Raw genomic sequence first — 13,453 nt, 5'->3', positions numbered from 1 at the left:
TTCTGGTGCTGCCACATTTCTTTCCATTCCTTCAGCTGAGACAGATTGGGAAGTGTAGCATCTTCTCAGACTCAAATTGAACTTGGCATTTTACTAGATTATACTGATCACCACCAGGCCTTCATTTGCTCTCTCTTTCTTCTGGCTAGAGTCTACAGGTCCTACACAGCCTACCCTATATCTTTTATGATATTATCTTCTTTTGTTTGCTGGGTTTGCTTTTTTGCCTTTCCAATGGATTCAATTCATTTCATTTTAACAAATATATCAAAGTATCTACAATATGCCAGACACTATAATAGTATTGAGGAGACAGAAATGAACACGTTAGACATGGTCCCTGACCTGATACTGCTGACAGTCTATTAAGGAGTATGGTATCCATTCATTCAATTGATCATTTACCCAACAAATGTTTATTGATTTCTTACTGTGAGCTAGGTGAATTCTAGGTGTTAGGAATACAATGGTGAGCTACATAGATTTGATCTTTCATGTCAAGGAATTCTTAGTTGGTGGAGGAGATAAGAACTTAGTACATAAACATGTCTGTTATCTACCCCTGCTCCCTGCCTTCACTTCCTTCCATATGCAGCTTAAATTCTGTGGCCAATTACCTTCCTGTGTTATAATCACTCTCTTGAATATACCCTCCACTCCCTTGCCCCATTCTTGCTTCAGTGAACTCTTTTTTTTTTTTTTTTTTTTCTTGAGACGGAGTCTCTCTCTGTCGCCCACGCTGGAGGTGCAGTGGCACAATCTCGGCTCACTGCAAGCTCTGCCTCCCGGGTTGACGCCATTCTCCTGCCTCAGCCTCCTGAGTAGTTGGGACTACAGGTGCCTGCCACCACGTCTGGCTAATTTTTTTGTATTTTTAGTAGAGACGGGGTTTCTCTGTGTTAGCCAGGATGGTCTCGATCTCCTGACCTCATGATCTGTCCGCCTCGGCCTAACTCTCTTAATTAAACCACGTCATTGCCTACTTGGTGGCTATGCTGAGTGGTCTGACTTTAAATTCACATTCACTTACCCCTAGGGTGGCCTTCAAACTCACAGGAAATTGTACTGTATTTTTCAAGTCCAATCACACTGTTATTCTGCCAGACAACTATTGCAAGTCTTTATCTCTCCCCAAACTTCCAATATCTCTCCCCCATCCTCATTCACACAAGATGACAGTCTTGTGTGGCTTGTGGTATTTAGCTTGATCCCTGACTTTTCAACATATTCCTTGTATTGCAGGGGGCACAAGTCTCAAAAATCTATTATCCAAACTGTTGTCAGCTGCTTTCCAGTTAGCATCTGCCAAGGAGACCCTGACACAGATTAGAAAGCAGGAGGAGGGGAGAAATCGTTCTTATTCTGGATTTGACAATGGCAGCTGCCTGTAGGCAACTGCAGGTTCCAGCCACACCAGCATTTCCAGCACCTACAGAGGAGGTAGCTCCTGCTCAGCCTGCAAGTCACAGGCCCCCTTAGAGGTCCCCTCTCTCCCATTGTCTTCTTCAGTCCTTCCAGCCTTTTGCACCCAATTCCTCCCATTAAAATTCTCTCTGCTTGAGAATGTTTCATGTTTTCCAAATTGGTCACTGATTGATAAAACTTGTTCCTTATTTCATTGAGAATATGGAAGCTATCTGAAAAAACTTCCATATCCTCCCACCACCATGTCTACCCACCTTCCAGCATCTGTGTGTATAAACTCTAGCTTCTCTCCTATTTCTTAGGACTGGCTGTCTGAGTTCCTAGCCCTAGTTTCCACCTCTGCTTTGATCCCAGACCTTATTCCTTCTGGCTCGCTCATGCATTTCTATCACCATCAATTTCTCTTCCCTGCATTGCCTATTTTTTGCTTCTTTTCCAGATCATTCCTGTGAGCAAAAATATATGCATTTTGCCTCCCACATTCAAACAAAATAAAATGACAATAATGATAGAAATAAAACAGAAAAAAATTCCTCTCCTTTCTGCACTTCCCACCCTAAGTACTACCCTCTTTTCTGTTCTTCCATTAGCAGCAGAATCCCTTGAAAGAGTGGTTCATACTATCTCCTCCTGGTTTCCCTTGAACCTACTCCAATCAGGCTTAAGCTCAAACAGTCCACTGAAACTGCCCTAAATACATCTAATGACCTCTGCAATAATAAATGCATGGTCCACTCTCAGCCCCACTCTTCCTTGACCAACGAGCAGTCTTTGACACAGCTGAGTCCCCTCCAACCCCTCAATGGGCCTCCGGAACACCACACGTGTGTGGCTTTGCTCTATCCTTCTGACCACTCCTTCTGCTTTGCATCTTCCCAACCCCAAATGAAGGAGTGTCCTCAACCTTAGCTCCTGGGCCTTTCCTCTCTTCTGTCTCTATTTAGCTCATTTCGTGATTGCATTCAGCGTCATGGTTTTAAATATAATCTCTACTCTGACAACTTCCAAATTTACATTTCCAGCCCAGGTCTCTTTCTTGAGCTCTAGGCTCATATGTCTAACTTTCTCCTTGATGTCTAATGATCTAAAAATCAGCCTGTTCAAAAGTGATCTCCAATTGTTCCACCCCCCACAAACCTGCTGCCTCACAGTCTTTCTTATCTCAGGGAATGGAAGCACTATGATATTGGAACCATCTCCACTCTGTTTCCCACCTGATAGGGTTTGACTGTGTCCCCACCCAAATCTCACCTTGAACGGTAATAAGGGTGGGGCCAGGTGGAGATCATTGAATCCTGGGGGTGGTTTACCCCATACTTTTCTTGTGGTAGTGAATAAGTTTCACGAGGCCTGGTGGTCTTATAAATGGGAGTTCCCCCGCACAAGCCCTCTTGCCTGCCACCACGTAAGGCATTCCTTTGCTCTTTCTTCTTCTTCTTCAGCCATGATTGTGAGGCCTTCCCAGCCATGTGGAACTGTGAGTCAGTTAAACCTCTTTCCTTTATAAATTACCCAGTCTCGGGTATGTCTTTATTAGCAGTGTGAGAACAGACTAATACACCACCCATATCCGTGGTATCAGGAGATCTCCCCAGCCCTACCTTCAAAATATATACAGGATTAAATAACTTCTCATCAACTTTACTGCTTCTACCCTTGTTTAATCCACCCCCATCTCTTACCCAGAATATTTTGAAAGTCCCTTAACAGGTGTTTGCCAGCGTGCCCGTTTTAAACAGTAAGGCAGATCATGTCACTCCCTGATTTAAACCCAGCTTAGCTTCCCATCTCACTCAGCATAAAAGCCACATGAGCCACATGGTCCCACACCCACAGAGGCAGGCCTCCACTTCCTCTGCCTTCACCCCCTGCTACTTCTCTTCTGCACCCTCAGCTCCTGTCATTCTGGCTTCTTTGCTGTTCTTTACCTGGGACTTTTGCATGTTCTGTTCCATCCATCTAGAATATTTCCCCTCAGGAATTCTTTTCCTTGTTCTCTACTTTTTTTTAGGTCTTTATAAAAATGTAACCTCAATTAGGCCTCTCCTGGTGGCCCTATCGAAAATTGCAAATGTCATCCTTAACCCTGACATCTCTATCCCTGTTCCCTGCTTTGTTTTTCTCTCGCACACCGAATGTAACCTAACATACTATGTGGTTTACCTATGGATTCCTTTGCTTATACTCTTGCCTTTCACTGGGATGTAAGCTCACGAAGATAGGGACTTTGTCTACTCGGCTTCCGGCTGTAGCCCCAGCCCATAACACCATGCAGAGCACCTAGGAGAAATTCAATAATTGTGAATGAAGGAGCAAATAATTAAAAGGTGCCTCAAGCAAAAGAAGAGTGTCATGAGAGAGAATAGCAGTCAGGACCCACTTTAGATATGGTGGGTGTGGGGGAGGTAGGAGGAGCCAGGACTCTGGCAAGTGGCTTTTAGGATAAGACCTTAGGAGTGTGGGTTGGGGAATACAAAGTAGTTTGATCCATTGCTTTAGTTTGCTGGGCAATGAGAGGTTTCCCAGGATGTGGGACTTTCAACGCTAAAAGGAAAGTGCCAGGCAAACCAGGATGAATTGGTGACTTTAGCAGAAGGGGAAGAGAATGTCCCTGGTGGAGGGTGGGACAAGTTCAAGTACTCTGCTGGAAAAGCTTCAGGGGCCAGGCTAGGCAGAGCCCTGTAGGGTGCGGCAGCAGTGTTTTCTATCACCTGTGCAGTGGGAGGTCACCAGAGGGTTTTTGTAGAAACCTTTCTAGCTCTCATGTGGAGAATGGGTTGGAGCCCAGTAAGAGGGAAGCATGGGGACCAGTTTTCTCCAGGGGAGGAAGGTTGTTAAATGTGGTTTGGGTTCTGTGAGGACCTAGTCAGATTCACCCTAGGGGGTTGGGGGGGTGAGGTTGAGTTATTGCTTCCTCATCTCTGAGTGCTGGGAAGAGTGGGCAGACTCTGAATCTACCTTTTATAATTTTGTTTAATACCAGCACTTACTGCAAATTGCAAAGTAGGTGAGATTGGAGTGGTTTTTTGATAAAGAGAGAGCTTGTCAAGGGGAATTTCGGAGCCATTTTCCACATCAACTCAATAGAGGTGTTAATCCTCAATCTGGATAACAGAATAATTCAACTACTGACTTTGGCTTTAAACTCCACTGCAGATTAACCAACTGTCAAGGACCTCAGCTGCCAGCAGACAGGCCTCGATGATGAAGAATGTCAGACACCCACGGCAGGCACCGTGTGGACACTCCAGGCCTGACCCCTCCCCGTGGAAGGCACAGGGGCAGTGCTGGTGAACTTCTGGATGGCCCTGGGTAGTTGATTGCTGGCTGCCACCATCCCCCAACAGGGCAGGAAGAAACCTGTTTTGTGCCAGATGACAAGGTGAGATTTCCTGGCTCTGACTCTTTAAGACAAAAATTGTGATTTAGAAAGAGACTGGCCTGCAGAGGAGCATCATCAAAACAGTTTTGTTTTTCTAAAAATAAATTTTAAACAGAATGGCAAAATTATTAAGCATCTTGAAAATTGAGTTGACTTTAGCGCTCTCACATGCTATGATTATTTTTGCATAATCTCTCCTGTTATTTTCCTATGCAAATTTATCTATTAACATAGTTTCTATAAGTGAAAGTGTGTCCTTATTTCTTTTATTATGTATTTCTATTACTCATTCACATTCTGATAGAAAATAGGTTACTTTTTCTAATTACACACATAACTTTGCAGAAAACATCTTTGTGTGAAAACAATAGTATTGTTTTGAATTATTTCCTTAAGATAAACTCTTAGAAGTAAATCTAAGTCAAACTTTTTAAACAATAGAATACATGTATATCATCACTGCTACATTGCTTTCTAAAGTATTAAATTTAACTTCTCATAGTATATGAGTATATAAATTTTGTAGTAACAACAATTTCTTTTATTTTTCAGTTTTGTAATTTAGTAGTTATGACATCACATCTCATCTTTGTTTCAATTTTATTTCCTTGATTACTGATGAGATCAAATATTTTTTCATAAAATCCCTGTCTTCTGTTCTTTATTTCTTCCTTTCCTATCAAGTACAATTTGCAATTCTTCTATGAGTCTCCTTTGCTTTCCAGTGGGTATACCAGGAGTGTTACCTAGTAGGGTTATTGAAAGCATTGGTTACTCAGAACAATGCTGGTGAGTAGTCATGGGCTTGATTTGGGATGTTATCAACTGCCTAGCTTTGAATGCTGGCTCTGACATTTGAATGCTAATGAGACATAGAAAGGTCATTTTGCAAGAGCAAGTGGGATTGGAGATATCACTGTGGCTGCCTTTGGAAAATGCCACCTGTCACATTAATCATTTTCTTTTTTCTTTTCTTCTTAAAAATAGAGACGCAGTCTCACTATGTTGCTCACCCTGATCTCAAATTCCTGGGGTCAAACAATCCTCCCACCTTGGCCTCCCAAAGTGCTGAGATTACAGGTGTGAGCCACCACACCAGGCCTATAACTGCAGCTTTCCAATATTATTATTCTCTCCCTCTTTCTTATTTTTCAAATTTGTCTTGTTTATTCTTGCTCATTTATTTTTCCATATGAATTTTAGAACCATCTTATCAAGGTCTTTTGACTGGCAATGCATTGACTTATTAACTAAATTGGGGGATAACCAACAAATCATTTTCTATTTGTAATTTTGCCAAGTCTTTTCTTTCTCTTTGTTTCTGCTTACTATCCCTGTAGCATGCCATTCACAAAGTGGCCACAAGGTGGGTGTAGGAGCAAGGAAGGTGACCCTCAGGCCCTTTTTGGTGTTTCTTGAGACCTGGTACGAGGTACAAGGGAAAGAGTGAGTTTGCTAGACAGAATGAGGCTGCAATTCTCTACATATAATATCTTGCACTTATTTGGCCTAGCTTACAAACATTTCATTTTCATTATTTTCTTTGGATAAATGAAGAGCGATCTTTCCCCATTTTATTTATTTTTATTTATTTATTTATTTATTTTTGAGATGGAGTCTTGCTCTGTCACCCAGGCTGGAGTGCAGTGGTGAAATCTTAGCTCACTGCAACCTCTGCCTTCTGGGTTCAAGCAATTCTCCCCACTCAGCCTCCCAAGTAGCTGGGATTACAGGGGCTCACAACCATGCCCGGCTAATTTTTGTATTTTTAAATAGAGACAGGGTTTCACCATGTTGGCCAGGCTGGTCTCAAAAATCCTGACCTCAGGTGATCCACCCATCTCGGCCTCCCAAAGTGTTGGGATTACAGGCATGAGCCACCGCACCTGGCCTCTCTCCCCATTTTATAGATGACAAAGTGAAGCCCTTGGAAGTGGGACGACTTCTCTACAAGGAGGACACAGAGCCCATGTCCTCTTGTATCAAGGTTACTCTTTTCTACGCTATCCAAAAGGAATAAAAAACAAGTGGAAATGAAATCCAAAGCAATGGCTGGAAAATGGGTGCAGGACCATTATCCCCATGTTCAGAATCCTGGCCTCAGCCTCCATGTGCCTGTCATCTCTGTGTAGTTAGTCATCAAGCCTTGTCATTGTCCTTCATGGTGTATCTCACATCTATCTTTCCTCTCCTCCCAATATCATCTCCATCTCACTTCTGACTGGTATCCAGGACCCCAGTTTTCCCCTCCAGTCCATCCCCTTCGCTGGGGTAATAATTTTCATTAGTCAGAGGTGGGGAAATGGAGGCAAACAAGGTTATTGTTTCCAGAATGAGGTGCCTGGGGTTGAGCTAGCTGATGGGTCTTCCGAAGCAGGCTGGGCCTTCTGGGAATAGTTTGGTGGGTTGATGGATGAGATGTCAAGGGCATGCCCACCACACCTCTCCTGGCTCCTACTGGGACACCCACAAGGAGCCTCCTGAAGGTTCTCCAAGGGGCAGGGTATTATTGTCTGTTGACTCCAGGGCATGGGCAGAGCAGGCAAGCAAGTTGGGGACAATTGCCAGGCAGCTCCAGGGAGCAGCAGGCAGCACAGGGCAAACCTCCGGTATCTATCAAGGAAAGGCTGCTGAAGAATGAGCAGCCACACTGGGGCTTGCTTTCCAAAATGATTCTTGCTGAGTCACTCTGGCAATGTGACCCTGGGCCACGCCTCTTGGCACCTGCTATTTTACTTCCGTTAGCTTGAAGAGAAATTAGAAGCCTCAGTGTTGCCTTATAAGGCAAATTGGGGCAATTCTTTGAGAAGGAAGGGCTGTGACTCAGGGACACCTGCGGAGGGGAGGGAGAAGTGGCTGCACACAGATCAGAGGTTTGCATATACACACACACAGGCTCACAGATGAGCAGGGGAGAAGCTTCCTTCACCCATTCCACATACTTGTACACGCTCTTTTGTCTTTTGTGAATTCTTTTCCTTTTAAACACACAGAACCTGGATTCACCTGTACCAGTATGGTGGCGTGGGGTCGCTGGAGGGATGTTTATTTCCACCCTTCAGGAAGCAGCTCTGCATAAATTGTGCCTTGAAGAAGAAGACCTCAGATCTGAGGTTAGAAGGCCGCTGCTTGTGATGCACTGAAGCTCAGAGGTCACCCCATCCGACTCTCCACACCATCCCTCAGAAAACCACCTCAATGATCCAAAACGGACTCAGGTGTATGACTGAAGAGGTCCTGGACCTCCAGAGATAAAATTACCAGCTCCTTAGAAGCACTCCAGAGTTTATCAAAGCCTACTTCCGCTGGGGAAAGCTCTGTGCCTCCCCTCAGCAGCCACCCATGGTATCTACCCATGGCTGCTTCTCTAAGTCCCCTGCCAGCCCCACCTTCAGGAGCTGGAATTGGGATGGGTAAAGTTTCCACAGCTACTTTCTTAATGTAGGAATCACTCCGAGGCCCTGCACAACACGTACTTGACACCTTTCATCTCAAATACTCCCTTTGACTCTGTCTGGCTTGATTCAGTGTCTGGTCCATACCTTGTTGCCTAGCTCCATTCATTGAAGGCATGCATCTGAGTCACCTGCCTCCCTCATGTCTAACACTGCCCTCCTTATGAGCAGCTAACCCAGGACAACAGAGGGGAAGGCGATGATGAGATAGACCATTCTGTCGCACCCTCAACCCCAAGCTATTAAGGTGATCAAGTTAGCCTCCAGCAGGAGAGGAGAATGACCTTGGATAGAATATTAAATATGAGTTGTGCATTAAAAAAGAGAATCAGAGAGGTTATATAGTTTATTGAAGGCCACATAGCTATTGTTTCTGTGCCTCCTTTCAAACCAAATAATCATGAGTCACAATTTATTGACCGTTTCCTATGAATCTAACCCCATGCTAGCCTCTTATCTTATCTCATTGAATTATCATTATTATGGTTATTAATTTAAGTGTGAGGAAACTTAGATAAATTTTGCAGCTTACTCAAATTCTGATTCAATAATTGATGCTGAGTCATTCTATACAGTTGTATTATCAAAGTTAGTATTATGAAATTATATTATTGGATTAGAAAACTCAGAACTTAAGTTTGAGAGCTGCTCTGTATCTTGCATTTGGGAATTCAAATCTCATTATAAAAGTTTGAGAGCTGCTCTGTATCTTGCATTTGGGAATTCAGATCTCATAAAAATTATAAAAAATTTTTAAAAAATTTTAAAAAAAAATTATAAAAAAAATTTTTTTTGAGAAGGTGAGAGCTAGAATGCATTAGCAAATGCCTGCCCTTGCTGGGCCCCCATACCACCCCTTCCTCCTGTACAACCACCCTGCACACACACACACACGCACACGCACCCCACAGATTTTCAGCATCAACTGCCATAGAGAAAAAGATTCTCAGGGGGGCCAGTAACAGTTCCAACTTGTTCTCATATCAATGATGTCACCTGACCAGGAAGTCTACTCCAATTTGCTCACTGAATTAAGTCAAAAACTGAGCAGCAGAGGTAGTTAGCTTCCGTTAGGGTATTTAATTTTAGAAACTAAACAGCTTGCTGGTAAATTTAGTGTCATCACTTCTCATTACTTAGTTAAGAAAGATAAGTGCTGGAATAATCACTAAGTAGGGGCTTTTATTGTTCAAAGTAAAAATGCAATTTTGATCAAATAAAGTAACATTCTGGCTGGGGGCAGTGGCTCATGCCTCTAATCCCAGAACTTTGGGAAGCTGAGGTGGTCTAATTGCTTGAGGCCAGGAATTTGAGACCAGCCTGGCCAACATGGTGAAGTCCTGTCTCTACTAAAAATACAAAAATTAGCTGGGCATGGTGGCGCAGCTACTCGGGAGGCTGAAGCATGAGAATCACTTGAACCTGGGAGGCGGAGGTTGCAGTGAGCCAAGATTGCACCACTGCACTCCAGCCTGGGTGACAGAGCAAGACACTGTCTTAAAAAAAAAAAAAATTAACATTCCTTTCTAATGGTCTCATTTGGTAGGAACAATGTATTGGAAGAAATAATATATGAAGTAGAATATATTGTACATTTTGTAAACAAATGGGCACCAGTTCCATAATAATTATGTATAATTTATTTTTGTTTTGACACAATTACAAAGTTATACAAAAGTTGCAAGTAGAAGAGCTTTATTTTCCTTACCCTTGTGAGTATAAATTGGCATTTTGACAGCCATTATTCCTGAATATTTTTAATTTTTATAAATACATAATAGTTGTACATATTTATGAGGAACATGTGATATTTTGACACATGTATGCAATGTGTAACCATTGAATCAGGGTAACTGGGATATCCATTACCTCAAGAATTTATTATTTCCCTATACTGGGAACATTCCAAATCTATTCCTCTAGTTATTTTGAAATATACAATAAATTATTGTTAACTGTACCCTCCCTAATATGCTATTGAACTCTAGATCTTATTTCTACTATTTAACTGCATTTTTGTTCCTATTACTGAACCCCTTTTTATCTTCACCTGTCCACTACCCTTCCCAGCCTCTGGTAGCCATCATTCTACTCCCTACTTCCACAAGATCAATTTTTTTTTAGATCCTAACTATGAGTGAGAACATGTGATATTTCTTTCTATGTCTGGCTTATTTTACTTAAGATGTCCTCCTGTTCCATTCATGTTGTTACAAATAACAGGATTTCATTCTTTTTTATGGTGGAATAATATTCCACTGGGTGTATGTGCTACATTTTCTTGATCCAGTCATCCACTGACGCACCCTTAGATTAATTCCATACCTTGGCTATTGTGAATACTGCTACAATAAACATGGGAGTGCAGATATCTCTTCAATATACTGATTTCGTTTCTTTTCAATATATACCCAACAGTGGGACTGTTGGATCATATGGGAGCTCTCATTTTAGTTTCTTGAGGAAGCTCCATACTGTTTTTATACTGTATTAATTCACATTCCCACCAACAGTGTATGAGTATTCCCATTTCTTGGCATCCTTGTCAGAATCTTTATTTATTTATTTTTTATAAAAGGCATTTTAACTGGAGTGAGATTATATCTCATGTGGTTTTGAATTGCATTTTTCTGATGATTAGTAATGTTAAACATTTTTTCATATACCTCTCGGCCATTTGTAAGTCTTCTTTTTAAGAAATGTCTATTCAGATATTTTGCCTGTTTTTAATCAGATTATTTTATTTTTTGCTATTGAGTTGTTTGGGTTTCTTATATATCTGGTTATTAATCCCTTGTCAGTTAAATAGTTTGCAAATATTTTCTCCCATTCGGTAGGCTGCTTCTTTGTTGATTGTTTCTTTTGCTGTGCAGAAACTTTTTAGCTTGTTGTGATCCCATTTGTCCATTTTTTGCTTTAGTTGTCTGTGCTTTTGAGTTCTTACTCAAAAAATCGTTACCCAGATCAATGTCCTGAAGTATTTCCCTGATGTTTCCTTCTAGTAGTTTCATAGTTTCAGGTCTTACATTAAGTATTTAATCCATTTTGGTTTGATTTTCATACATAGTAAGAGATGAGAATCTAGTTTCATTCTTCTGCGCATTGATATCCAATTTTTCCAATACTATTTGCAGAAGAGACTCTCCTTTCCCCAATGCATGTTCTTGGTGCCTTTATCAAAAACAAACTTGTTTGTTTGTATGTAAATGTGTAGATTATTTCTGGGTTCTCTGTTCTGTTCCATTGGTCTATGTGTCTGCTTTTATGCCAGTACCATGCTGGTTTTGTTACTGTAGCTTTGTAGCATAATTTGAAGTCAGGTAATGTGATGCCTCCAACTTTGTTCTTTTTGCTCAGGATTACTTTGTCTACTCAGGGTCTTTTGTAGTTCCATACAAATTTTAGGATTTTTTTTTTCTATTTTCATGACGAATGTCATTGGCATTTTGATAGGGATTGTATTGAATCTGCCGATCACTTTGGGTACTATGGACATTTTAACAATATTGATTGTTCTAATCCATGAACATGGGGGCTGTCTTTCTGTTTTTGTGTGTCCTTTTTAATAACTTTCATCAATGTTTTACAGTTTTCACTGTAGAGATCTTCCACTGCTTTGGTTAAGTTTATTTCTAGGTTTGTTGTTTGTTTGGTTTTTTCTTTTTTTTTTTTTTTTTTTTTTTTTGCAGCTATTGTTAATAGGATTGCTTTCTTGGTTTCTTTTTCAGATTGTTTGCTGTTGGCATATAGAAATGCTATTGATTTTTTGTCTTTTTTGTGTCCTGCAGCTTTACTGAATTTATTTATCAGTTCTAATGGTTTATTTAGTTGAGTCTTTAGGTTTTTCTAAATATAAGATTATATCATGTGCAAACAAGAATAATTTGAATTCTTCCTTCCTAATTTCGATGCCCTTTATTTCCTCTTCTTGTTTAATTGCTCTCACTAGGGCTTTCCATTCTGTGTTCAAGAAAAGTGGTAAAAGTGGGCATCCTTGTCTTGTCTATATCTTAGAGAAAAATATTTCAGTTTTTCCCATTAAGTATGATGCCAGCTGTGGGTTTCTTGTATATGGTCTTTATTATGTTGAGATATGTTACTTTTACACCCAGTTTGTTGAGATAATTTTTATCATGAAGGGATGCTGAATTTTATTAAATGCCATTTTGATATCTATTAAAATGATCATGTCGTTTTTGTCCTTCATTCTGTTAATATATCATGTTTACTGATTTGCACATGTTGAACGATCTTTGCACCCCATCTTTTTATTGTGTTGTTGAATTTGATTTCCTAGTATTTTATTGAGGATTTTTACATCAATGTTAATCAGAGATATTGACATTGAATTTGGTTTCCGAGTATTTTATTGAGGATTTTTACATCTATGTTCATCAGAGATATTGACATATAGTTTTCTTTTTCTTTTGTTGTGTCTTTGTGTGGTTTTGGTATCAGGGTAATGCTGGCCTTATAGACTGAATTTGGAAGTGTTCTGTCCTCCTTGGTTTTTTAGGAATTGTTTGAGTAGGTTTGTTATTAATTCTTTAAATATTTGGTAGAATGCAGCTGTGAATCCATCCTGTCCTGGGTTTTTCTTTGATGGGAGAGTTTTTATTACTGTTTCTAGCTCATTACTTGTTATTGGTTTTTTCAGGCTTTGTATTTCTTCATGGTTCAATATTGTTAGGTTTTATGTGTCTAGGAATTTATGCATTTCTTCTAGATTTTCCAGTTCCTTGGTGTACACTTGTTCATAATAGTCTCTAATGATTCTTTGTATTTCTATGGTTTCAGTTGGTGTTTCCTTTTTTTTAAATTTCTGATTTTATTTATTTAGATCTTCTCTCTTTTTTCTTTGCTTACTAAATGTTTGTCAATTTTGTTTATTTTTTTCCAAATACCAACTTTTTATTTCATTGATCTTCTGTATTGATTTTTTAGTCTCAATTTTATTTATTTCTGCTCTGACCTTTATTATTTCTTTCCTCTTACTAACTTTGGGTTTGATTTGTTCTTGCTTTTCTAGTTCCTTGAGGTTCATCATTAGGTTGTTTATTTAAACTTTCTCCTTTTTTGATATAGGTACTTATTATCTACTTTTTTGATATAGGTACTATAAACTTCTTTCTTAGTACTGCTTTTGCTGTATCCCATAGATTGGGGGATGTTTTATTTCCACTTTCATTGT

General features: G+C 40.2%; 7 annotated features.

Annotated features, from left to right (window-relative positions):
* Positions 6,892 to 7,419: an enhancer, noted in NCBI's record as "H3K27ac-H3K4me1 hESC enhancer chr2:69135881-69136408 (GRCh37/hg19 assembly coordinates)". NCBI's record gives its function as "activates a minimal SCP1, AML or CMV promoter by ChIP-STARR-seq in naive and primed H9 embryonic stem cells {active_cell/tissue: H9 hESC(naive and primed)}" and the evidence as "EXISTENCE:reporter gene assay evidence [ECO:0000049][PMID:30033119]".
* Positions 6,892 to 8,463: a biological region, named in NCBI's record as "P300/CBP strongly-dependent group 1 enhancer GRCh37_chr2:69134837-69136036".
* Positions 7,264 to 8,463: an enhancer, noted in NCBI's record as "P300/CBP strongly-dependent group 1 enhancer chr2:69134837-69136036 (GRCh37/hg19 assembly coordinates)". NCBI's record gives its function as "activates an origin of replication core promoter dependent on BRD2, BRD4, P300/CBP, MED14 and CDK7 cofactors, with strong dependence on P300/CBP, by STARR-seq in HCT116 cells {active_cell/tissue: HCT116}" and the evidence as "EXISTENCE:reporter gene assay evidence [ECO:0000049][PMID:35650434]".
* Positions 7,398 to 7,487: an enhancer, noted in NCBI's record as "active region_15967". NCBI's record gives its function as "activates an Ori minimal core promoter by ATAC-STARR-seq in GM12878 lymphoblastoid cells {active_cell/tissue: GM12878}" and the evidence as "EXISTENCE:reporter gene assay evidence [ECO:0000049][PMID:35858748]".
* Positions 7,420 to 7,946: an enhancer, noted in NCBI's record as "H3K27ac-H3K4me1 hESC enhancer chr2:69135354-69135880 (GRCh37/hg19 assembly coordinates)". NCBI's record gives its function as "activates a minimal SCP1, AML or CMV promoter by ChIP-STARR-seq in naive H9 embryonic stem cells {active_cell/tissue: H9 hESC(naive)}" and the evidence as "EXISTENCE:reporter gene assay evidence [ECO:0000049][PMID:30033119]".
* Positions 7,698 to 7,817: an enhancer, noted in NCBI's record as "active region_15966". NCBI's record gives its function as "activates an Ori minimal core promoter by ATAC-STARR-seq in GM12878 lymphoblastoid cells {active_cell/tissue: GM12878}" and the evidence as "EXISTENCE:reporter gene assay evidence [ECO:0000049][PMID:35858748]".
* Positions 7,848 to 7,897: an enhancer, noted in NCBI's record as "active region_15965". NCBI's record gives its function as "activates an Ori minimal core promoter by ATAC-STARR-seq in GM12878 lymphoblastoid cells {active_cell/tissue: GM12878}" and the evidence as "EXISTENCE:reporter gene assay evidence [ECO:0000049][PMID:35858748]".

Source organism: Homo sapiens, chromosome 2 (assembly GCF_000001405.40).
Source record: "Homo sapiens chromosome 2, GRCh38.p14 Primary Assembly".
Classification (NCBI taxonomy): Eukaryota; Metazoa; Chordata; class Mammalia; order Primates; family Hominidae; genus Homo; species Homo sapiens.
The sequence above is the reverse complement of the archived record's forward strand: the minus strand, read 5'-3'. Positions and strand labels throughout refer to the sequence as shown.